Source organism: Homo sapiens, chromosome 10 (genome assembly GCF_000001405.40).
Source record: "Homo sapiens chromosome 10, GRCh38.p14 Primary Assembly".
NCBI classification, from domain to species: domain Eukaryota; kingdom Metazoa; phylum Chordata; class Mammalia; order Primates; family Hominidae; genus Homo; species Homo sapiens.
This window is the reverse complement of record NC_000010.11, coordinates 53,006,491-53,032,623: the sequence shown is the minus strand read 5'-3', so window position 1 is coordinate 53,032,623 and position 26,133 is coordinate 53,006,491. Positions and strand designations below refer to the sequence as shown.

Genomic DNA, 26,133 nt, shown 5'->3' with positions numbered 1-26,133 from the left:
GTAGTTTGTCATGTTTCTCCACTGAATAGTTATTCTTTTTTATATCATTTCCTTACTGTACTCATTGGAAAGAGGTCACTACAAGCAGCCCACACTTAATACTAATGCAGCATAATGTCTACATAAGTTATTTGTAATTCTTCTGCACAAATTTGCCTCTTTGCTTCCATTTATTTATTTATTCAATTATTTATATCAGTATGGACTCATGGATATTCATTTTATACTTTTGTTTATAATCGAATAGTACAATTACATATTTTGTTGCTGAAACTGTTTCAGCTTTGGCCATTGATAGCTCTTTTAGTTGGCTCCTGTGTTCCTTTGACACACTCTCATTATTATGAGCTCATTTTTTATTTGAGCACTTTCTTCTTTCAAGGTCATCTTAAATAACTTTTCTTTCTCAGTCCTGGAATCAGCCACTTCTCTCCAGATTCCCTCCTTCCTCTTTTTAAGAATAATATTAAAAATCAAGATTTAGGCACTTGGTGTGGTCACTGATACTGGAATGTCATTGCCTCTGGGGTTCTCAACTGACAGAGCAAGGAAACATATGTATGACTACTAACCCATGTATGCATATGTATCAATAAACATGTCTATGTGAAACTATCTCTATTGAACTAAATATGAGTTTATTTGTGGGCCCCTAACTCTAAAAATTATATTATCACATGAATCATTCTAGCTTCTACTAAATGCTTACCTATAAACTAACATTCCAAGAATGAGAAACCTGGCTCTCACAGTTCACCATTTATGTATTTAATTGTTCAATCATAGCACATATAATTATACATATTAAATATGTGCTATAGTTGAATATATTTTATATATTATATGTATTATATATTACAATTATATATAATTGTATATATTATATATACATATATAATTATATGTATGTGTATATAATATGTAATTATATATGCATATATTATATGTTCAAATATATATTATATAATTGCAGTATATATGTGTTGTAATTGAATAATTATATATCTTACATATATGATTATAGCATATATATATATATATATATGCTACAACTGAACTATATATAATGGTTTCAGAATTGTGAATCTGTATCCCCATGGAACACAGTTTAATACTTACAGTGTTCATATGATTTCTTTAGCCTTTAATCTTACACATGATACTCATTTCCAGTTACTTAGATTGACACCATACCCCCAGCACCTTCTTCAGTGAGATTGTTTCATACATGTTGAACAGAAGGAGACTGTGTTGTCACTCCTGCATTCTGCACTGAAATATCCCAATCTCAGAAATTACTTTTTTTTTTTTTTTTTTGAGACAGAGTCTCAGTCTGTTACCCAGGCTGGAGTGCAATGGCACGATCTTGGCTCACTGCAACCTCTACCTCCTGGGTTCAAGTGACTCTCCTGCCTCAGCCTAACAAGTAGCTGGGATTACAGACGCCCAACACCACGCCAGGCTAATTTTTGTATTTTTATTAGAGACAGGATTTCACCAGATTGCTCAGGCTGGCCTTGAACTCCTGACCTCAGGTGATCCATCCACCTTGGTGTCCGAAAGTGCTGGGGTTATAGACGTGAGCCACCGTGCCTAACCAGAAATTACTTTTAAAATTTGCATCCATCAAGGCTCCTACATTGTGTTGTAAAGTTCTACAGTTTGAAAATATATAGGGTTGTTTATACACCATTATATTATCATACAGATTAGCTTTACCACTCTAGAAAAAAAATCTCCTATGCTTCACCTATTCAGTCCACTGCCCCTCTCCTAGAACTCCTAGAAAAATACTAATCTTTTTACTATTTCTATAGTTTTGCCATTTCCAAAATGTCATAGTTTAATAGTAAAGTATGTAGCTTCTTCAGTCTGGCTTCAATATGCATTTATAATTTATTCACGTCTTTTTGTGGCCTATTTCCTCTTTTTATTGTTGAATCATAATCAACAGTATGGATGTGAGAGGAGGGGCCAGCTGGGCTTCCTGGGTTGAGTAAGGGCTCAGAAAGCTGTGAAACTCACTCATTTCCTGCATCAGGACTTACTTCAGTCCTGGATGAATAATACTGAAGATATATGCTTAAAATATTCCTAACACCAGGATTTGTGCATGTGTTTTCTTCCCCAAGAAAGCTATAAACAGTGAAAAATTTGCTGTAAGTTTCCCTGTGTCCTCTCTCCCTCTCTCCCTTCCCCCGCCCCTGAAACTAAAGTAAAAGGAATGTTAACTGCCTGTTTTTCTGTGACCAGTGGACCTTATCTATACTCCCAATTCCAATTCCTTGTAAACATACTTTGTAAACTCCTGTGAGATCCTGTCTCCTTTGCCATGCTGCTGTAAGGTCCTAAAGTAGATAAAACCTAAGTTGCAATTCCGGTTTTCCTCAAAATCTAAGACATGTCACAAAATAATTTACTGCCTTTGTTGATCTCGCTCCTGTAACAAGCTTCCTGCCTCACGTATCTCCCGCCTTAAAGAGTTTAAAAGGCAATCACCCAAAACCAACCGTGGCTACCCATTCAAGACTGTTTCCACACTGTGGAAGCTTTGTACTTTCACTCTGCTCAATAAAGCCTGCAGCTTTTTCTCACTCTCAGTCCATGTCTCTTTCACTCACTGTGGTCAGCTTCCACACCATTTCTTTGGTGTGGCTTGGCAAGAACCTCAGGTGTTACATCTTGGCGAGCCAGACAGGAGACTCCAGAAAAGGTATCTAGATCATCATGCAGTGAGTACAATTGGACCTCTTTCACTTGCTATTCTGTCCTGTCCTTCCTTAGAATTAGGAGGCTAAATACTGGGCACCTGTCTGCGACTTAAAGGTGAATAGCACAGCGACCAGACTAAAGACACAGGTGTCAAGGCTGTCTTGGAAAGGGTTCTCTGACAACCCCCGACCCTTTGGGGTCAGGAGCATTGGTTTGTCCGAAACCAGTTCTAACTCTTTTGCTTTTCATGGTGGTCCCGAAGTACACCTGGGAGTGATCAGCAGACGTCTTGGTCTCCCAGATATCTTGGTTGAGACCATGGCCCCGCCAGAGGCTCCCACTGCATGGATTACTGGGCGTGAGACAGCCACATCTGACTCCCGCTTCCTGGGCCCTATTGTCTGCCAGTTAAACTTCTTTCCTCACCTTGAAAGCAAAATTATTCCCTCTAGGCAGGATCAAGATTTCCTGTTTAGAAGTCTTAAATTCTTGGGGTGGTGCCCAGAAGATCCCTGTTCATGGTGCCCTCCAGGGTTTAGACAGGTGTCACCATTTGATGACTATTTTGAAGGGCCAGTTCCCCACCATAGTGTATGGTCCCCCACATCAGGACAATTTAAAGACAGGTCTGTAATTTTCATGTGGATAGTAGAAGCCTTAGGGCATTTTTTCCATTGCTCCCCAAATAAACTTTCCCGTTCCTTGGGGCCTCTCGAGTACAATCTGTGGTGCATAGGCACGGGTCTTAGAGCCATTGAATTGCTGTTTCAACCATTCAATAATTGGTATTGGATGGAAGAAAATATAGTCAGTTGGGACACAGGATACTAGTACCACCTTAAGAGAGGGGCTTACTCCTTTGATGGCAAGTGGAGACAGAGGGCTAAAGTACAGCAGCTGTTCTCTTGGTCCTGGCCTAGAGGACATCCACCACCACCTTTAAGCTAATTAAGCCTCCTGTCACTAATTCAGAGATTCCCATGGCCAGGCTCTCATAAATTGGGCCTTAGTATGCAAACATCAGTGGCACCCCAGACCCAGGACTTGCCACTCTGGAACAGGTAGGACACATTGGCAGAAGGACCACAATAAATCAAACAGTCCTTGTGCCCCATTTAGTGGTCAGTGGGTGCACGGCAGGGGCAAGGGAAGTTTCCATCCCACCGGTAAGCATGGTTAAATCCGGTAGATGGAGAGCTCAGGAAAAGTGGCCATGAGCTTTGAGCATAAATGGACCTGACCCTTAGGGGATGCCCTAAGGGAAGACGAGTCCGAGGACTAACTAGAGGTGTAGGCACCCCTGTGTTAAAATTCCATATGGGCACCACACCTTCAAAACCAGACACTTCCTTAAGATGTATCCTGAATAATTAGGACAAACTCGACCCTGAAACCTTAAAAAAGAAGCCACTGATTTTCTTCTGTACCACTGCCTGGCCACAGTATTCCTTACAAAATGGAGAAACTTGGCTCCCTGAGGGAAATATTAATTATAACATCCTTCTACAACTAGATTTTCTGTAAACAGGAAGGTAAATGGAGTGAAGTCCCTTACGTACAGGCTTTCTTTGCCCTTCGTGACAATACTGCCCTGTGCCAAGCCTGCAAGCTTTGCCCAAATGACAGAGGCCCACAATTACCTCCATACTCAGGGCCTCTTCCCTCAGCCTCACTCTCCTCCCCCACTGACTCTCTTCCATCTGGCCCCACCAAAGTGTTAAAGGCACACTGGAAAGAAAATGTAAACTCCACGAGCCAGACACCCAAACTATGTCCCTTATAAACAGTAGGAAGAAAATTTAGGCCCATTCACCTGCATGTCCCTTTCTAACTATCAGATTTAAAACAAATCAAGGCAGATTTGGGAAAATTCTCAGGTGATCCTGATAGCTATATAGATGTCCTGCAAAGATTAGGGCTGTCCTTTGATCTAACATGGAGAAATATCATGTTACTTCTTGATCAGACCTGAAGTCCTACTGAAAAGGAAGCAGCTTTAACAGCAGCCCAGCAATTTGGGGATCTGTGCTAACTTAGCCAGGTAAACGATTGAATGGCCCTGGAGGAGAGGGAAAAATTCCTCACAGGGCAACAGGCAGTCCCCACTGTAGACCTTCATTAGGATACTGACTCAGATCATGGAGATTAGAGCCACAGGCATTTGCTAACTTGCATTTTAGAAGGGTTAAGGAAGACTAGGAACAAGCCTATGAACTACTCAATGCTATCCACAATTATACAGGGAACAGAGGAAAACTACTCCACTTTTCTAGAAAGGCTAAGGGAGGCCCTAAGAAAGCATACCTCCCTAACTCCAGATTCCCTGGAAGGCCAACTTATTCTAAAGGATAAATTTATCACCCAAGCAGCAGCTGATATTAGGAGAAAACTCCAAAAGTCTGCTTTAGACCCAGAACAAAATTTGGAGGCATTACTAAACCTGGCAACCTTGGTGTTCTGTAACAGGGACCAAGAGGAGCAGGCCAAAAAGGAAAAGCGAGATAAGAGAAAGACTGCAGCCTTAGTCATGGCTCTCAGACAGGCAGACCTTGGTGGCTCACAGGGAACCAAAAGAGGAGCAGGCCAATTGCCTAGTAGGGCTTGTTATCATTGCGGTTTCCAAGGACACTTTAAGAAAGATTGTCCAACCAGAAACAAACTGCCCCCTTGCCCATGTCCAATATGCCAAGGCAATCACTGGAAGGCACACTGCCCCAGAGGATGAAGACCCTCTAGGACAGAAGCACCCAACCAGATGATTCAGCAACATGACTGAGGGTGCCTGGGGCAAGCACCCACTCATGCCATCAACCTCACAGAGCCCCAGGTAAGTTTGACCATTGAGGGCCACAAAGTGGACTTCCTCCTGGACACTGGTGCAGCCTTCTCAGTTTTAATCTCCTGCCCAGGATGACTGTCCTCAAAGTCCGTTGCTATCCAAGGAATCTTAGGACAGTCTGTAACCAGGTATTTCTCTCGCCTCCTCAGCTGCAATTAGGAGACTTTGCTCTTTTCACATGCCTTTCTTGTTATGCCCGAAACTCCCACCCTTATTAGGGAGGGACATATTAGCCAAAGCTGGGACTATTATCTACATGAATATGGGGAACAAATTACCCATTTGTTGTCCCTTCCTTGAAGAAGGAATCAATTCTGAAGTCTGGGCCTTGGAAGGACAATTTGGAAGGGCAAAGAATACCCATCCAGTTCAAATCAGGCTAAAAGACTCCACCACTTTTCCTTATCAATGGCAATATCCCTTAAGGCCTAAAGCTCTCAAAGGATTACAGGATATTGTCAGACATTTAAAAACTCAAGGATTAGTAAGAAAATGCAGCAGTCATTGCAACTCCCCAATCCTAGGAATACAAAAACCAAATGGCCAGTGGAGACTAGTGCAAGACCTCAGAATCATCAGTGAGGCAGTAATTCGTTTATATCCTGCTGTACCCAACCCTTATACACTGCTCTCTCAAATACCAGAGAAAGAATGGTTCACTGTTTTGGACCTCAAAGATGCCTTCTTCTGCATTCCCCTGCACTCTAACTCCCAGTTCATGTTGCTATTTTGTTAACCAGTTGGGAATCATTATTGAAAAGGTCAAAGAAATAAAAGAACAGATAGAAAGTAGGAAAAAGGAGCTTGAACACTCAGGACCCTTGAATATGTTTAACCAATGGATACCTTGGCTCCTCCCCTTTCTAGGACCTGTGACAGCCATCCTACTATTACTCGCCTTTGGGCCTTGCATTTTTAACCTCTTGTCAAATTTGTTCCCTCCAGGATCAAAGCCATCAAGCTACAAATGATCTTACAAATGGAACCTCAAATGAGCTCAGCTCACGGCTTCTACCGAGGACCCCTGGATCAACCCGCTGGTCCCTCAATTACCCTAGAAAATTCCCCTCTGGAGGACACCAAACTGCAGGGCCCCTTCTTCACCCCTAACCAGCAGGAAGTAGCCAGAACGACTGCCACACGGTTCCCAACAGCAGTTGGGGTGTCCTGTTTAGAGGCAGGACTGAGAGGAGGTGCCAGCTGGGCTTCCTGGGTCAAGTAGGGGCTCAGAAAGCTGTGAAACTCACTCATTTCCTGCATCAGGACTTACTTCAGTCCTGGATGAATAATATTGAAGATATACGCTTAAAATATTCCTAACACCAGGATTCGTGCATGTGTTTTCTTCCCCAAGAAAGCTATAAACAGTGAAAAATTTGCTGTAAGTTTCCCTGTATCTTCTCTCCCTCTCTCCCTTCCCCCGCCCCTGAAACTAAAATAAAGGAATGTTAACTGCTCATTTTTCTGTGACCAGTGGACCTTATCTACACTCCCAATTCAGATTCCTTGTAAACATACTTTGTAAAGTCCTGTAAGATCCTGTCTCCTTTGCCATGCTGCTGCAAGGTCCTAAAGTAGATAAAACCTAAGTTGCAATTCCGGTTTTCCTCAAAATCTAAGACATGTCACAAAATAATTTACTGCCTTTGTTTCCGGCTCCTGTAACAAGCTTCCCACCTCATGTATCTCCCGCTTTAAAGAGTTTAAAAGGCAATCACCCAAAACCAACAGTGGCTACCCGTTCAGGACCCCTCCCATGCTGTGGAAGCTTTGTACTTTCACTCTGCTTAATAAAGCTTACAGTTTTTTCTCGCTCTCGGTCCATGTCTCTATCACTCGCCGTGGTCAGCTAGCACACCAATTCTTTGGTGTGGCTAGGCAAGAACCTCAGGCATTACAGATATACCACAGTGTGTTATAAAAATTCACTTATTGAAATACATCTTGGTTGCTTTTAGTTTTTAATGATCATGGGGGGAAAAAAGCTGCTGTATACATCTATATGCATATTTTTGTGCAGAAAAACACTTTCATTTTTTTGGGGGGGGAGGTGGATGGAGACTCGCTCTGTCACCCAGGCTGGAGTGCAGTGATGCGATCTCGGCTCATTGCATCCTCCACCTCCGGGGTTCAAGTGATTCTCCTGCCTCAGCCTACTGAGTACCTGGGACTACAGGCACATGCCACTACACCTGGCTAATTTTTTGTATTTTTAGTAGAGACAGGATTTCACCATGTTAGCCAGGATGGTCTCGATCTCCTGACCTCGTTATCCGCCCGCCTCAACCTCCCAAAGTGCTGGGATTAGAGGCGTGAGCCACCCTGCCCAGCCAGAAAAACATTTTCAAATCAACTGGGTAAATACCTAAGAGCATGATTGCTGTATTCAATGTACAGTGGCACCTTTTTGTTGTTTTAATTTGTAATTATCTAAAGACAAATGATAAAAAAATTTGCATGCTTGTGTGCTCTCTTTGGTGAACCGTCTGTTCAGATATTTTGCTCTTTTTAATGAAGTTTTTGTTTACATAATGTTGAGATTTAATTTTTTTTTTTTTTTTTTTTTTTGAGACAGAGTCTTGCTCTGTCCTCCAGGCTGGAGTGCAGTGGCACGATCTCGGCTCACTGCAAGCTCCGCCTCCCGGGTTCACACCATTCTCCCGCCTCAGCCTCCAGAGCAGCTGGGACTATAGACACCCACTACCACGCCCGGCTAATTATTTTGTATTTTTAGTAGAGATGGGGTTTCACCGTGTTAGCCAGGATGGTCTCAATCTCCTGACCTCGTGATCCACCTGCCTCGGCCTCCCAAAGTGCTAGTATTGTAGACTTGAGCCAGATTTAAATGTTCTTTGTATTTTTGAACACAAGTTCTTTTTATGAGATATGTATTTTGCAAAAATATTTTTTTCTATCTGTCATTTGTGTTTTGATTCTCTTAACAGTGTCTTCTGCAGAGCAGATGTTTTAAATTTTAATACAAACTAAATTTTTATTTTAATGATGATGTAACCAGCGGCGAATCCATACGAGTCTGCAGCAAATATGAATCCTTACTTCTTTGGAGGAAAGAATTTGGCCAAGGGGCAGAAATAGGTTTAAGGCAGAGGGAGAGACTGAGGCAAATTTTAGAGCAGGAGCAAAAGGAAGCAAAGTACATGTAACCACCAAATGGGTTCATCTGGCCCACTGCCTAGACAGAGCCAATTTATCAAGACAGAGTAATTGCAATGGAGAAAGAGTAATTCACACAGAGCCGGCTGTGTGGGAGACAAGGGTTTTATCATTACTCAAATCAGTCTCCCCCAAAACTCAGGGACTGGAGTTTTTAAGGATAATTTAGCAGATACTGACTTGGGAAGTAGGGAGTGCTGATTGGTTGGGTTGAGAATGAAATCATAAGGCGTTGAAGTGGGTTAGTCTTGCTGACTTCTGTTCCTGGGTGGGATTGCAGAACTGGTTGAGCCAGATTATTGGTCTGGGTGGTGTCATCTGCTGCATCAGAATGCAGGGTCTTGCAAAATATCTTAAGTACTGATTTTAGGTTTTACAACAGTGATGTTAGTCGCAGGAGCAATTTGGAGAGGTTCAGACTTTTGCAGCTGGAGGCTGCATGGCCCCTAAACCATAACCTCTAATCTTCCAGCTAATTTGTTAGTCCTACAAAGCCAGGCTCATCCCCCAGCAAGAAGGGGTTTTATTTTTTTCAGGAAAGGGCTATTATCAATTTTGTTTCAGAGATTAATCCGTAAATTCCTTCCCGAGTGTAGCTTGGCCTATGCCCAGGAATGAACCAAGACAACTTAGAGGTTAGAAGCAAGATGGGTTGGTTAGGTCTGATCTCTTTCACTGTCATAATTTTGTCAGTTATGATTTTTGCAAAGGCTGTTTCATGCACTTTGAAGAAGGGCCAAGCTGGTAACTGGAGAGATACAAGTGCCCCATCCAGCCTTTGGCTTGGGATTTTTATAATTGGCTTGGTTCTGGGATTTGCGTTTCTCCTCCCTTGAGGCAGGCTATTGCTCACCTGACCCAAGCCCAGTGTCAGTCAGCACTTGGGAAGGTGACTGCATGCATATTGCATTTACTGAGGTTGTGCACGTGTTCTCTAGGGGTGATTTTCCTGTACCAGTCCAATGCCTCCAGAGGAAGATCATACATTTGCCATTTTACTGCTTAGTACGCATGCTTGAGCCTGCTCGCCCAACTGCTGAGATCTTATTCAGAAACTGCTGATCACCAACTCCAGGTATTTTCTCTCTCTTGGAATATTGTCTTCCTCTGGCCAGCTGTGACAAATTATCATTTCAAAGAGACAGTTTAACAACTGCCTGATCATCACCTAATGATCACATGACATTCCTTGGGGTGGGGTGCTGGGGTGCTCTCCTTCCTGCTTATGTCTGCAACCGCATACTCTAACAATGAAACTTTTAGTATTGCATCTTCTGTGTATTTCCCAAAATGCTGTCTACACCCCTATGAAAAGAGATGTTCACTGCACCCTTTTTTGTTATTACAAGCTGTTTTTATGTCTTCATTAACCTATACATTCATAACCCCTTCGCTAATACTAAAACACTTTTGATGTATGTCTAATTAACATGTTTAAGTACAGAGCATTTATAAAACTGCCATGACTAGCTTATCTCTGCTTTTTTTTCTTTTAATCTTTTGGTTAAAAGTTTTTGTTAAGTCCCTCATGTCTCTATCTATGGAATGAAGGTATTTCCATTTCTTGTGGCTTCAGACCTGTTACAGACCACTTTAAAAATAGGACAACAGGTATTAGGAGATACTTTCCTGACTACTCCCCTATTTGCCACACAGAATTATGTAACTAGCATTCCAAGAAATTCAAATAAATTGAAATATTTAGGGATATAATTAGGAGTGGGTTGGGACTGGAATTTGTTGTAAGGTTTTATATATCAAACTCTAAAAACACCAAATGAAATGGCTATTTATTAGTGCTGAGAGGTACTATTAAAAAGTACAGGGAAGTAGAACAAAATAGTCACAAAGCACCACCTCAAATAAAATAGTTCCTATGAAAATATTGTTAAGCAAAAGAAGGGCTAGAGATTTGTAAAAGATACATTTTATTATTTTTTAACACAAAGTATTACATGTATTTAAAGAACAAATACTATTTAAAGCTATTTTTAGAAATACTCAATATGAATACATGAATTTTAAATCGTGTTAATAATTATTAAATTATAGAAATAAGTGTCTGAAAGTTTTCTGAGATATTAAAGCCCCCATGGTGTAATTGGTCTTGGTATTATTGCTTTATTTTATCCTGGGAATTCTGTGTTTGATGGGAATGTGGATTCAATTGAGCCAAATGTGTACTGTGTATGTAAGCATTTATGAATATTGATTGTATTTTGGAAAACTTTCTAGTTGATACTAAGTGAGTGAGAAATATCCCTATAGTGCCGTACACAATTCCCCTATAAATCTACCTCCCGTGCTAAACTGGGGCTAGCATATAATGTTGGACTTGTAGAGGAATGATTCTTAGAGCTTAGGTTTGGAATCATTTTTATCACAGAAGGATAATATTGAACCAGCACAAGTTGGTCTCGTTAAATACTTTCATAGAATTCCCATATTTCTTAGTTTTTGAGGACATTTCATGTATATGGAATTTATCACATTGTGTGAAGGCAATCCCATTGGAACATTTACATAAATCGATATATAAAGAGAGATTCACAGTTACAGAGTATAAATAATCAAGCTCCTTGAGTCTCACAGTTGTATTAAATACAACAATAATTTAAAATAAAATCAAGAACTGAAAAAATATATAATTATTTTAAGAATTTTGGTTTGAGCATATCAGTAAAAATTGCTGCAGTTTCTACTGATAGTGGTTTAATATTAAACCCAAAGTACCAGACAAAAAGACAAGGGTCTGAAATCTCTAGTCTACAAAACTACACCAATTTTGTATGCTTGCTATTTGGTTTTAGATGCACAATCAAATATCATTGACAAAAATCAAGTAAGAAGGAAGAGATCTGGAAATCAAATTAAATTTTCAGCATGGCCTGGGAGAATTTACCCAGCATTGGAATTCATAACATTTGGTTCCCCCTTCCAACATTAACTTGTTTTGGGACCTTGGGCATTAAATTGAATCTGTGACTCCATCTGTCAACTCTAGTTTAAACTATCTGTATCACATGGATGGTATGAAAATAAAATAAGAAAACTACAGGTGAACATATTCTGAAAATGTTAGTAGATTACTGTCTTAGTCTATTCCTGCTGCTACAATAAAATACTTAGACTGGGTTAGTTGTAAGCAACAGAAATTTATTTCTCACAGTTTTGGAGGCTGGGAGATTCAAGATCAAGGCGCCAGCAGTTTCAGTGTCTAGCGCAGATGTGCTCTCTGCTTCCAAAATAGTGCCTTCACAGGATGGAAGAGGGCAGAAGAAGCAAACAGTTTCCTTGGTATTCCTTTTATAAGGGTACTAATTCCATTCTTGAGTGCTTTTTGCTCATGACTTCACCTCTTAAAGGCCCTTCCTCTTAACACGAACACATTGGCAGTTAAGTTACATTTTGGGGGCATGCCAACATTTGGCCCATAGCAACTACCCAATCAGAAGTCAGTAGCAATAAAGGTACTGACCCTGCCTGGTCTGGCCTTTATTCACCCTTATAAATCCTATTTCATACCACATTGCTCCTTGACCTCTGGTTTTAGACACACATGCCTTCATTCTGCTTCTCAAATCATACGTCCTCCTGCCAATGACTTTTGCATATATTTTGATTATCATATGACAGATGATCATTTGATCATCATATTTTACTCGTATTTCTATACCTGAAACATACTTTATTTCTGAGTCTTAGCATCATGATCCAAACCCTAGCTCTCAATAGTCTTAATTTAGCTCTATTCTTCCTTCAGATATGAGCTCAGATTGTACTTTGAAGGGAAACTTTCCCTGCTCAACCACTGTCCACGGTTAGATCAAGCTCTATCTATCCTTTACCCTAATGACACCAATTCCTTTCCTTCAAACACCTGTCACAGTCTTAATATTTTATTCTTTTATGATTATCTTATTTATTCTGTCTGTCCTCATTGTTATTTTGAAAATCCATGTGGTCAAGGTTCCTGTCACTTTTTTGTTCAACATTGCATTACAAGTCCTTCATATGGCAACTCACACCTATTAAACCTAAAAAAAAAGACATTATTGAGTGAATCAATTGAATAAAATATCTTAGTTCATTTGTGCTGCTATAAAAATACCTGAGACTGGGTAATTTACAAATAATACAGCTTTGGAGGCTGGGAAGCACATGCTCAAGGTGTCAGCATTAGGTGTATGATGAAGACCTCACCAAGATGGCCGTGGGCACACTCTCTCAAGCCCTTTTATATGGGCTTTAATCCTTTCCATGAGTGCCCTACACTCATGATTTAATCACCTTCTAAAGAACCCACTTCTTAATACTATCATCATTGGCCATTAAATTTCAACAAATGAATTTTGAGGGACATATTTCAGGCCATAGCAGTACTGTATTAGGATTCTGAAAAACAGAAAACAGAACCATTAGGATAGAGAGATGATAGACGGATAGATAGATAGATAGATAGATAATAGATAAGAGATTTATTTGAAGGAAATGTCTCAAGTCATTTGGAAGGCAGGAAAGTCTGATGCTCATAGGACAGGCTGGAAATTCTAAAAAAAAAGTTGATGCTGCAGTCTTTAAGTTCATAGGTTGGAGACAAGCAGAATTTCTTTTTTTTTCTTTTTTTTTTTTTTTTTTTTTTTTTGAGACGGAGTCTCGCTCTGTCACCCAGGCTGGAGTACAGTGGCGCTATCTAGGCTCACTGCAAGCTCCCCTCCTGGGTTCACGCCATTCTCCTGCCTCAGCCTCCCGAGTAGCTGGGACTACAGGCGCCCACCACCGCGTCCGGCTAATTTTTTGCATTTTTAGTAGAGACGGGGTTTCACCGTGTTAGCCAGGATGGTCTCGATCTCCTGACCTCGTGATCCGCCCGCCTCGGCCTCCCAAAGTGCTGGGATTACAGGCGTGAGCCACCACGCCCGGCCGACAAGCAGAATTTCTATGTTGCGGTCTGGAGACAGAATTCCTTCTTATTCAGGGGAGCACAGCTTTTTCTCTAAAGGCCTTTAACTGATTAGCTAAGGTCCATCCACTTTATGAAAGTTAATCTGCTCTACATAATGTCTACTGATTTAAAAGTTAATCACATCTAAAAAGAAACACAAATTTCACAACAATATCTAGACTGGTGTTTAAAAAAGCAACTTGGCACCATACCCCAGCCAAGTTTACACACAAAATAAACCATCATAGGCAGGGACCCCCAAATGCTTCATTCTCTCACTTCCTTCAATTCTTGGCGAGTACTTTCCTGACCAGCTTATTTAAAATTGTAACCTGCACACCTCCATCCCACCTTTCTTCAAACTCTCCCTATTCTCATTTTCCATTTTACATGTTTTTTTCATAGAATTTATTGCTAGTGGACATAAAATATATTTAACTTATCCACTTATATATCTCCAATAAAATGTAAACTCTAAAAGGGCAAGAAATTTTGTCAGTTTTATTTACATAGAAATGTCCTTGACGTTTGATAGGTTCTTAATAAGTACTTGTTGAATAAAGTAATTGAATACTGCGTAAGATTTGATTACTGGAACCCCTACTTACTAGTTGCACAAATTTGTGAAGTCACTTAATATTCTCAGGTTTTGCTTTATTCATGTGGAAAAGAGTTATTGAAATATATCATTTGACTGTACTCTAAGTATAGTTCCTGATCCAATAGTATTAATGCTAGAATTACCATTATTTGATAGCAGACATAAATTCAGAGACCTGTGACACTGCTTTGAATTCCTTTTCATTTGACTATCCCCAAATTGGCTCTGCCCCAGTCCAGATAAGGGAAAAAAATAGACCTTGATACCACTGATTGTCAGTTGATAGATAATCAAGAGTTAATTGAAAATAAATAGGTTTTGGCTTTTCTTTTTATTGGAATTGTTTAGATATGTTATTCTTATAGTGTACAAAAGTCTGTCTAAAAAGGTGGTGGTATGCTTACTGAACACTGAAATTATAATTTTAGCTTCAAGAGGATAAGAGAAGACACAGAGGCAGTATTACAGAGCTGTTATAAATCCAGACCTGAATTTAGATTTTCTAGACTCAAATTTTAGTTTCACTGCTTACCAGCTATGTGATTTAAGTACCTTAAGTAAACTCTAAACCTTGGTTTCCTCAAATGTAAAATGGAATGATAAATGCATCTACCTCATAGGATCGCTATATATTTTAGGACAGATGATGTTTGGAAAGTACTTAGCACAACATTTAGCTCAAAATAGTTACGAAAAACGTTTTTCTTCTTGTCATTGCTGACATTACTCTGTCAAATGATCATCTTCAAAACTGAGGAAAAAGTAAGGACATAAATTCAGTTACTCTGAGGGTTTTTACTACAGTAACATTCTTACCTTAAGGAACACTCTATATTGCCTTCCCCCTATAAAATATCGCTGGTATAAAATTAAACAACCTATTTATTAATATTACATTATCCATGTGCCAAATCCTGTGTTCTGCGCATTAGTGTATGTTTTGAAGGTGGGTGTACCATGCAAAAATATTTATGACATAGTCACTTAATGTAAGAAGTTCCTATGAAAATTTATTATGTAAGATAAGATATGATCATGGGATATGAGAAATATATTTCAGGCATAGTTAGTAGAACTGGATCAGTTACAGAAACTTCTTTGAACAGATAAACTGGGTTGGTTTTACAGAAAAATTTTCAGTCAACAAATACAGAGATTTAGTTCAAGCACCCCACAGTGAAATTAAAATTATTTGACAATATAAATTTTAAAGGCTGCAGCTGTCAAATTTCACAGAAGCAATTATTCTATCTGCTATCTTGAAAGTGATCTAACTCACATATTGATACTCCATTGACATGACCACAGACCATGGCCTCCCCAGGGATTCTATCAAGCACCAGCAATGGTCCCGGCATTAGCCAGTAAGCAAAAAACTAACAACTAACCATGAGTTGATGTTTGGAATTAGTTTTATTTGGAGGTGAGAATTTATCTCTTTTTTGTTTCTTGTCTCAGAAATAGTGCACTTAATCTCAACTTTCCTGGTTAACCATGCACAAAGTTGACAGATTTATTATTCTATCTATGTGTTTTGCTTTCATTTGTGTTATATAATTTATTTTCTGTTTAAATAAAAGTCACCTTCAGAATTTAGAAGATCAAGTATTAAATTATAAGCTTTCATATCAAAACTCTAAGAAAAATATTTTAATTTCTTTACTTATCTTTATTAAATAGCTTAATCCTTCAAGCAACAATAAATTTTTATAGTGTCCTTAGAAAGATGATTAATAATATCTGTTAAAATTTTTAAAATTACATCATCATTAAAGCAACAATGTCATTACTGAGGCATTGTCTCATATTTAGAATGTATGCACAGGATATTATTTATTAAGACTATTATCACTAAAATAAGTAAAATTACAAAAAGTAAAAAAAGAAATTAAATACCCATCACTAAGTGAATTAGAGAATAAATTAATAAATATATATCCGTATCAAAAATGACTTTGCAGTAGCCATGTAGAAGAGGAAGTGGACCTCTATTCCCAGCAATTTGATGAACTACACTGATGTTAAAAATCTTTTTCTAACAACTCCAATGATAGATGGCAATAGATGCTGAATTAAAAAGTCTCTTTCTTTTTAAAAAATGTTATAGCTTAAAATGAAAGAAACAAAAACAAAAATTCAAGTACCAAAACAATGAATATGATGAAAGCCAAAGCAATAGGTGCATAAGCTGATGTTTCTGCAGCCATGAAAGAGTTTCAGACTCAGTAATGTTGAGAAGGTTAGCTTTCAACCTTCAATTCCTCCGGGAATAGGAGATTAAGGCTCAGATACACAGGAAGTATGGAGTTACAACTTAAGTCTCTGAAAAAATCAAGACTGCTGGAATGGATATAATTCTGGATAAAGAATAAATCAATAATTTGATATATGAACCCAAAAGAGTATACAATAAATCTAATGTTTCTCCTCAATCTGAGTAGAAAGAAATTATCCCATGGACAAGTGAAATCATACCCCACAGAGTTTAGAGTCCAAATGTACTCTACCCAGCTGTCGTAAAGAAATCCCAAGTCAAAAACCATTATTAAAAACTTGTTCCAAACAAGTGATGCCCCCAGACAAAATCAAAATAGAAATTGTTCTAGCATGATACTTCAAAAACAGACATCATATAGAATCCTATAAGAAAAAAAAATGTGTGCTTCAAAATAAGCTCACAGAAAATTTTTTTTAAATATGTAATGAAACACAACACCATCGGTAGAAGTAGAAAATGCAACAAAGAAAAGGATTAGGACACTCAAAAAATGAAATAGAATAATTTGCATTAGACTAATAAACAATTATGTGCAAGATTATTGGCTACATACTTTCAAAGTATAGAATCCACAAGAAAGAAAAAAAAGACATTAGACAAAAGCTAATGGGGCCGGGCGCAGTGACTCACTCCTGTAATACCAGTACTTTGGGAGGCTGAGGCGAATGGATTACCTGAGGTTAGGAGTTAAAGAGTAGCCTAGGCAACATGGCAAAACCCCATCTCTACTAAAATACAAAAATTAGCCTGACATGGTGGTGTATGCCTGTAGTCCCAGCTACTCGGGTGGTTGAGGCAGGAGAATCGCTTGAACCAGAGAGGCGGATGTTGCAGTGAGCAGATATTGGGCCACTGCACTGCAGCCTGGGTGACAGAGTGAGACTTCGTTTCAGGGGAAAAAAAAGACAAAAGCTAATGAGCCTGCTACAAATACTTTATTTTATTTATTTATTTTTGAGATGGGGTCTCACTCTGTTGCTCACTCTGTCACTGCAGCCTCGATTGCCCAAGCTCCACCATGCCTGGCTAAGTTTTTTATTAATTGTACAAACAAGGTATCACTATGGTGCCAAGTCTAATCTCAAACTCTTGGGCTCAAGTGATCCTCCTGTCTTGGTCTCCCAAAGTGCTGGGATTACAGGCATGGGCCACCACACATAGCATGTTATACATATTTTAAAAGAATGGGTTAGAGCTGCACTAGGAACCTGAAGGTAACCAAAAAAAAAAAAAAAAGGAAGAAAAGAAAAAGAAAGAAAAAAAACAGTTAATTTTTTTTTTAAGAAAAAAAGCATTAAATGACCAATGGGGATTCTTGCTCTTCACACTTCTACACTGCTTAAACTTTATTTATTCTGGAATTCTCATATAATGTAAGTTGCACAAGTATAAATTTTTTATACAATAATATAAATTACACATAAATACTTAACTAAGAGGTACATATTATAATATTTTGGGTCCAACCATATAGCTCCCTTTAAAAAAAAATACACACCGACATACATACCGACACACACACACATATACATACAGACACACACACACACCCCCATTAGCTGCAGATATACCTACAACCCAATGAATACAAAAACGCTGATTTCTAAAAAGAGGCAGTGTATTCAAGTCATACTCTTGTCATTGTCTTTTTTTGTTTCTATTTCTTAGTTCAGATTTCCTCCTTAGCACTTGTAACTATCAAGGATGAATAAGGGGTCACATGATTCATTTCATTAAAGATGCAATTAGATGTTTTGCTTTCTTATTGTGAGACTGATTACTCTGACTTTCAGGCAGTTGAGGGTGTCTTTATTTGGATTTAAAGCTAGCGTTAGACCTTTAATGAAGCTGTTAACGAACCTACAGTCAATCTTCTAATTTTATGGAAGACAATATTCTTCCACAGACATGAGTAGGAGCCATTCTTTTTTAACAGGGTGCTCTTGCAAAAATTACGTGAGAGTCTCTGGAATCACACCCTGCTACTACTAGTATTAGCATCTATTTATTCGATCATTTTATCGATGCATGAGTCTGGCTCAGCCTTCTAAAGCTTTTGCGGAGTGAAGAGCTAGTTTGATCAAAGCACTATTTGTTGTGAAAGGTTCTTCAAACTTATTTTCACTAATAAATAATCATTTTTCAGGAACAAGTTTGCCAAAGCATAGTTGCAGAAGTTACAGACCTTGGTCTTTAAGAAGACCAAATGCACACTAGGCATTCCTCCTATAAATGCAAATTTTTTCTGCAGCTTTGAACTGTTATTTCCTTAGATTTTAGTAACTTCAGTGTTATTCTGTCTATATGGATGCCAAGTCTATATTTCTTCTTTTGTTTTAAATCTTTCAGGCAACATCCTTTCTCATAATCATTACCTCCATTTACATTTATATCTACTCGAAAAATGCAATACAATGTTAAGCAAAGTGAAATAGAGATTACTCAGCCCTGTGGGGAAAGAAGCAATCAGTATTTCTGTCTGGAGAGACAAAAAAAGGAGGTTATATAAGTTATGTAATTTAACTTAATGAGGCCACCAGACAGAAACTACAAATAATATTTCAAAAACCACAGGCATAATTATTAAAAGATATGGCTATTTTAGCATCTGGAAAGAGAAGCAGAACATTGTTAATTATAAACACTTTCTCTGGGACAATAATAAGGTTTCTGCTATGGGTGGCTTCAATTAGATTTGGGGAAAAAAATCTGTACTTCCCTTTTAAGAGATGAGTCACGCAACTGAAACTTCTCTATTTCTTTTCTTTTCTGATTGTTCTCCAGAATTAGGACTAGTAACAGTCCTTAAATCTTGTATTTCCTTATCTAGAAAACTCAGTATCTTCCCTTCCGTTTGTCTTAAAATATTAGTACTGCTCTTCCTTATTGGCAGGTGGGCTTTATGGAATTTGTTTGTTATAAAAAGCTATGCACCAGGATGGATGATTTTTTAAAAATGGTCTCCCATAAGGTTACTGCAGCGCTTGAAGGAACATGGCTTAGCCAGCAGTTACCTTTGCGCAATGCAGATATTCTTTATTAGTACTTGACTGCCTTGTTAAGATTTATTCAGTTTCACTATTTATTAATTGTGCTTATGATTGACATGGTGAGTGTATTGGTTTTCTGTTGCTTTACAACTAAACACCACAAAATTAGAAGCTTTAAAACACACACACATATTACCCAAGTTCCTGTAGATCAGAAGTCTAGAGACTTCTTATCTGGATCTTCTACAAAGAGTCTTACAGGCTGAGAGCCAGGGCTGCATTTTCATCTGAGGCTTGGGGTCATCTCTAAGCTCACATGGCTTAATTCACTTCCTTGGAGTCATAGAATGAAGGCCCTCACTATTTAAAAGACAAGAGGGAGAAATAATCAAACAGGCCCAAATGAAAACTCTAGAAATGACAAAATAACTAAATTAGATATACAATGAATGAGATTACCAGCAGACGAAAATAAAATAAAAAGAAAAATATTAAACTGAAAAGTAAGTCAAAATAAAATACAGAGATTGAAGAGAAAGAGATGTCTAAAAAAGATGAAATAAAGTAAAAAACAAAATGGACTTAGTGGCATGGAAAAATGGCCTATCATATTGGAAGGAATGAAGACAAAGGGATTGGGCATAATTGCTAACCACTTTCAAAAACTGTTGAAAGATACTAGTTACAAAGTTAGTAAGAAGATAACTTTTAAAAGATATCAACTAAATATATTAACTATAGATCCAAGAAGCATTATAGGACAGGCGCGGTGGCTCGTGCCTGTAATCCCAGCACTCTGGGAGGCCAAAGCGGGTGGATCACCTGAGGTGAGGAGTTTGAGACCAGCCAGGCCAACACAGTGAAACCCCATCTCTACTAAAAATACAAAAATTAGCCAGGCATGGTGGCACATGCCTGTAGTACCAGCTAATCGGGAGGCTGAAGTAAGAGAATTGCTTGAACCCGGGAGGCGGAAGTTGCAGTGAGTTGAGATTGCACCACTGCACTCCAGCCTACGCAGCAACAGAGCAAGACTCCATCTCATAACAAAACAAAAACAAAAACAAAAAAAGAAACACCTTGCACAAGATACATATAAAATCATAAGAACCATAAATATTCTAGAAAATTAATATGAAAGACAAAAAAATTAAGTGAAACCAAAGTAAAACATAAACATATATTACTTCACAAATAGCAGAATAGCAGCACACAAACTGCTGACTTCTCAACAGAAATCACTGTAGCTGGAAGACTATAGAATGATGTCTGTGAACCACTGAATGGGGATAACTGTATTATAAAAATTTTACATCAAAATTGAGAGAGGTGATATTGAAAGACCCAAGTTAAGAAAAATACTAAATACTAAATAGTACTCTTCAGGGAAATGTAGAGGTATAACACAGGTTATATTGATTAATCTGAATTAGTCTAAGTAAATATTGGCTGTAAAACGACAATAATAATATTTTGGGGTTTTAAGTATATAGCTTTGTAAAATAACTTTTAAAGAGAAAGGGTTAACAATTAATAAGGTATTCCACAGGCCTTGAATTTTCCAAAAAAATTGTAATTTTAGAAACATAACAAATCTTAAGAATATGCATTATAATCTCTAGAGTGACCAATAAACTAAAAAGGGGAGTCTACATTAATGGTGAAAGACAAAATTGTTTCCTCAGATCAAGAACAAGGCAAGGATGCTCATTCTCAGCATTCCCATTTAATGATGTTCTCGATTTAACAATCATCAATGATGTGATACTCAACATGAAATGAATAAATAATAACCTGTTGTTGTGTCCATGAGAAAGGTAGTCTCATAAGAGAGAATCTTAATTCAGATGATTAATAAATTCCTAAATTTAGAAACGCGACTTCTTTAAATTGAACCAAATGATGAATGCCCCAATAGGATCTTTTCACTGTTTGTGGGCAGACACTGTGGTATATACTTCTCATCCATCATCTCACTGAGTAGTAATAACTTCAAGTATTTTAAGATGATAATAGTAGATGTTTAAAGAGGTTAGAGAATTTTTCCAAGGCTACAACAGTTAATAAGTCAAATAATTCAGATTCAAGGTAGTCAGTGTCATTTTTAATTCTGAATCTTTAACCACTATCATTTTCCTGAATCTACTGTCCTTTATTATCACTAGCAAATTGGTTCAACTCAGTTTGCACATTTTTAAATTTGGAAAGTATACCTTCTCTAAAAGTGGTGAGAAATAAAAGAGAGTTAAATCTAAATTCAACTGTATTTCATCAGTTTAAATGACCTTACACATACTGTTCATTCTCACAACCAAGTGCCTCCTTTAAATGCCAAGAATATGCCTACCAGTGAATCTAAACTTGAAGGATTTATCTTAAATACATAAAATTAGAAGAGTAAATAGTTCATAATATTCCTAGGGGTGGTTAGAATTCAGAGAAAACTATTCTCTCTAGCTTGTACAATATTGACTTGGCTCTCTCTTCCTCCGCCCATTCTTTCAATGTCTAGGACTGTTTAACTGAAACATTTGCTGGCTTCTCCATCACGCCTCACAAAAGATAAATATGGGCTAACATTTGTCTCTGAAGTTGTTTTAGCTAATCGCCTCAACAGGAAGAGAATTTCAAAGAGATTCTGCCAGATTTCCTATGCATGGAAGCATAACCAGATGAAAACAAAATCCCTCATTAATCTGTGTGCATTGCTTTAAAAATATGCCACCTACTGTGCACAGAAAATAACCTGGCAACTCTAGACCAATTAGTAGGGCCAATTACTTGTGATTTGGGATGTAAATAATTTCACAAAGTTCCATCAATGAACACTGTAATCCTTTGACTTTGTCAAGAAGCACAAAATACTGTTGAGCCAACATAAACATATGTTTGTTTTTCACATACAGTGAGCACTAAGAGGGTCAAATGAACAGAATTATCTTCCCTTTTTTTAAATTTCTTAGTCCTTCAGAAGTGGCCATATGTGTTGGCACTGCTTCTTGGCCAGCCAAAATGCACGTTCCCCAGATATTTTATTTTTTCTATTTTATCTCAAAATTTGTCCTACACTGCCAATCCTTTGGATATGAAGCTCTGGCTATGACTTTGAGGAAAATTTTCCCAGCTGTTCACATAGGTTTCTTATTAAATCTCTCTGCTAATATAAACTACAGCTTAGATTTCATATTTTTTTAAAAAATTAAAAGCTAATTTATGTTGTACATTTCTGAATCCCAGTACCACCAATACCTTCAATAATTGTAGAGAATGCATCCTGCTTGATATTTTTTTCTACTTTCATATATCCATTCAGGACCTGGCACAGTATCAGTATCATTCAATAAATATTTGTTGAATGAATGAATTAATGAATGAAGAGTATATTAGGGTTGACGTCAGTCTGCTAGCAAATGGACACTAAAATACAGAAAACCTTTTTTTGAGGAAAAAAATTGTTGTTAACAATTTAAATCTAGTAGAGTCATGTTTTTCATTAGAATAGACAGAAAACTAAAAGAGTGAGTTGTGTTTGTGTTGAGAGAAACTATACAGAAAATACATAATCATTCAATTTGCTGATGATTATTTAAAATTAGCCAGTTTGTGGTCATTAAGCTGCTTTGAATATATTATCTTCAATTTAGAAGGAAATTTAAACATAATGAGTATGATCCACCCATTTTAGGGTTCAGAATTTTAATTGGAAATTTAATTGAAGGTTTGCAATTTAAAATTTTGTCTTCTGAAGGAGCTTGGGGAAGTTCACACCAAAATATGGCTCCCAGGTATAATGAGTATTTTGAATTAAAGGCCCTTAAAAATCAATAGACACTGGAAGAGGATTTTCCCCTATCTACATAAAGATCAGATCCTTCCCCCTCCACCCTTCGAGGATAACAATTGCTTTTTCTTCTCTGATATGGTTTGGATTTGTGTCCCTGCCCAAATCTCACATCATATTGGAGGAGGGGCCTGGCAGGAGTTGATTGGATCATGGTGGTGGGTTTCCCCGTTGCTGTTCTCATGATAGTGAGTAAGTTCTCATGAGATCTGATGGCCTAAAAGTGTGTGGCACTTCCCCCTTCACTCTCTCTCCTGCTGCCATGTGAAGAAGGTGTTTGCTTCCCCTTCACCTTCCGCCATGATTGTAAGTTTCCTGAGGCTTCCCAGTCATGCTTCCTGTTAAACCTGTGGAACTGTGAGTCAGTTAAATCTCTTTTCTTCATAAATTACCCATTCTCAGGTAGTTCTTTATAGCAGTGTAAGAACAGATTAATACACCCTCCCTGTTATCTCATTATCTGTTGGAGAAAAGAAAACCAAGAATGTAACCATACCTCAATAGACTCTCACAAGATAATATCTGTCTGTTAGTCTCATTCAATTTCCAAAGAGAAGTATTTACAGATTAATCTCTGTTCCTTGTTTCATACATTCTCCCTAGTAATAATTTATGGCCCCTCAAGAAAATTACATATATTCCCCACCCCCTCTGAAATAAGGCTATATATAAGTATCTGGGCCCCACTGGAGGGTTGGGGCAATCATTTTATTGTTCTCCCCCATGTGCACATTAATACATCTGTATGCCTTTTCTCCAATTAATCTGCCATTTGTCAGTTGATTTTTCAGTGAACCTTCAGAGAGCAAAGGAGAAGTTTTCCTTTGACCCCTACACTTCCATAGAACACTACTTTAAAAACTTACCCTTTAAAAGCTCTCAGATTTATAGTGCAGAACCCTATCTCTACTAAAAATACAAAAAATTAGCCGGGCACGGTGGCAGGTACCTGTAGTCCCAGTTACTCAGGAGGCTGAGGCAGGAGAATGGCGTGAACCCGGGAGGCAGAGCTTGCAGTGACCCGAGATAGCGCCACTGCAGTCCGTCCTGGGGGAAAGAGCGAGACTCCGTCTCAAAAAAAAAAACAAGTATATATACTATACAGTATATAGTATAGTATAAATGCAAGAAGAACTTAGTATAAATTGAGAGACTTTATTGTAAAATACTGACAAAGATTTTTGCAGTTGGCAAAATCATCAAAGTGAAATATATCTAATGTCCTTACTCATAACAGCAGATTAAAAACAAATCTATTTAATTCATTTAGCTCTAGGTGATGCCAACTACTAGATTTATTTATTCTATTAATAAAAATCAAAATCATTGGTTTTAAACTGACTTCTTAAGAGCACCAATTACAAAAGTCTTACAGTATTTCTATGCTTCTAATTGTTTCTTCTTGTGACTACCAGCAAGGTACTGAGTAATACAGAATGACAGATTTTTCTTTATTTCACTCATGTAAACAACATCTGAACTATAAATAGTCTATAATAGCATATTATGTATGCAAGTTTGAAGCACGTAACTTCATATAACTGAGCATTAAATGTAAATGGCTACAAAGGCTAGCTCTCTCATCTCTAGCTCTGTAAATTACAACTTGTTGTCAGTGGCCAGAAAAAAATGGTCTCACTTCCTCTGATATTCTAGGGAAATAATCCACCCTGCCAAGGACCTAGGTTTTAAATTTCATGACCTACATAAAAGGCAAAGCTTTTTAAAAGTTTGTTTTCTATATGGTAATTTCTGTATATCACAAAGTCAGGGACTAGTTTCCTCTTCATTTGTGTCTACAAAACATACAGAGTAGTATGCTCTATAAGATAGTGGTTTCCAAATATTTTGTATAAAACATATTTCTTCTGTCTGGATGTATTGTTTTTCAATGATAACAATCTTAGACAGAAAAGGAAAACATGTCCTTCAAATGACTGAAGAGTGTGAAAATAAGTAATTAAAAATTAAAGCTGTTGGAACTTCAAATTATTTTGAGCCTTAAGGGAATGTAAATATGGGTCCTGAGTCATGTGATAGGCAGCTGTAACCTTTGTTCCTCTGATTATAGATCAGCCTTTTGTTTATCTACACTGTTTTGTAAAATGTTATAAGACTAAAGGGCACCAGGGAAGGCCCTTTCCCTCTTAAGCGTTGATCTTCATTATAGATTAACTTTCCCCTTCTCTTACACAAAAACCTCACAACTATCATATTGTCTAAGATGGAATGTTAAATAGACTCTTTAAATTGAACCAAAAAAAGATGTTTAAAAAAAAAAACCCAGCTTTAACCAGCCAAATTGCTGTAACTCATAAACCAGCCTTCTATGGAAAATGTTATAATCTTATTAAATTTTTTTTTTGTTTTCTGCCTATGTAAGCAAAAGCTTAACTTTTCAGGTTTGAAGCACTGACTCCATTCCTTTGGAGTCTGTGTTTCCCATATGGCTATCCTAACTTTGCAATTTAATAAATTCTTTTATATTTGATTCTGATCCTTTCAATTATTTCACTTTGACAAGAGGAATCCATATCCTTTACCAAAGAGCAGTAGATGAACAGGACTTATCATCCTTTCTTCTCCAGTGTTGCTTTTTACCAGATTTGCATAGTGTCAAGATTATTTTCCTCTAATTGGATGCACTGTCAAATCCTGAGTCTTTGATTGGATAGAGGGGAAGTGTAGTGAAAGCCCTGGTAAGCTCCAACATGTTAATATTTTAAAATAAAACAATTAATGTTCTTATTAGG

The 26,133-nt window shown here is 37.8% G+C and overlaps 1 long non-coding RNA gene across 4 annotated transcripts in view, besides 1 other annotated feature; it reads left to right on the top strand.

Annotated features, from left to right (window-relative positions):
- Positions 2,418-2,917: an enhancer, noted in NCBI's record as "H3K27ac hESC enhancer chr10:54789467-54789966 (GRCh37/hg19 assembly coordinates)". NCBI's record gives its function as "activates a minimal SCP1, AML or CMV promoter by ChIP-STARR-seq in primed H9 embryonic stem cells {active_cell/tissue: H9 hESC(primed)}" and the evidence as "EXISTENCE:reporter gene assay evidence [ECO:0000049][PMID:30033119]".
- The window catches only part of LINC02672 (long intergenic non-protein coding RNA 2672), a 57,847-nt gene continuing 34,227 nt past the window's right edge, over positions 2,514-26,133 (top strand). For 2 of the 4 annotated variants that reach the window (NR_186378.1, NR_186379.1), the window contains exons 1-2: positions 2,514-2,713; positions 9,664-9,800. This is a non-coding gene — a long non-coding RNA (long intergenic non-protein coding RNA 2672). Of the gene's footprint in view, positions 2,733-9,663; positions 9,801-26,133 lie in introns of all 4 variants that reach the window. The other 2 variants (NR_186377.1, NR_186376.1) reach the window with 1 other exon arrangement.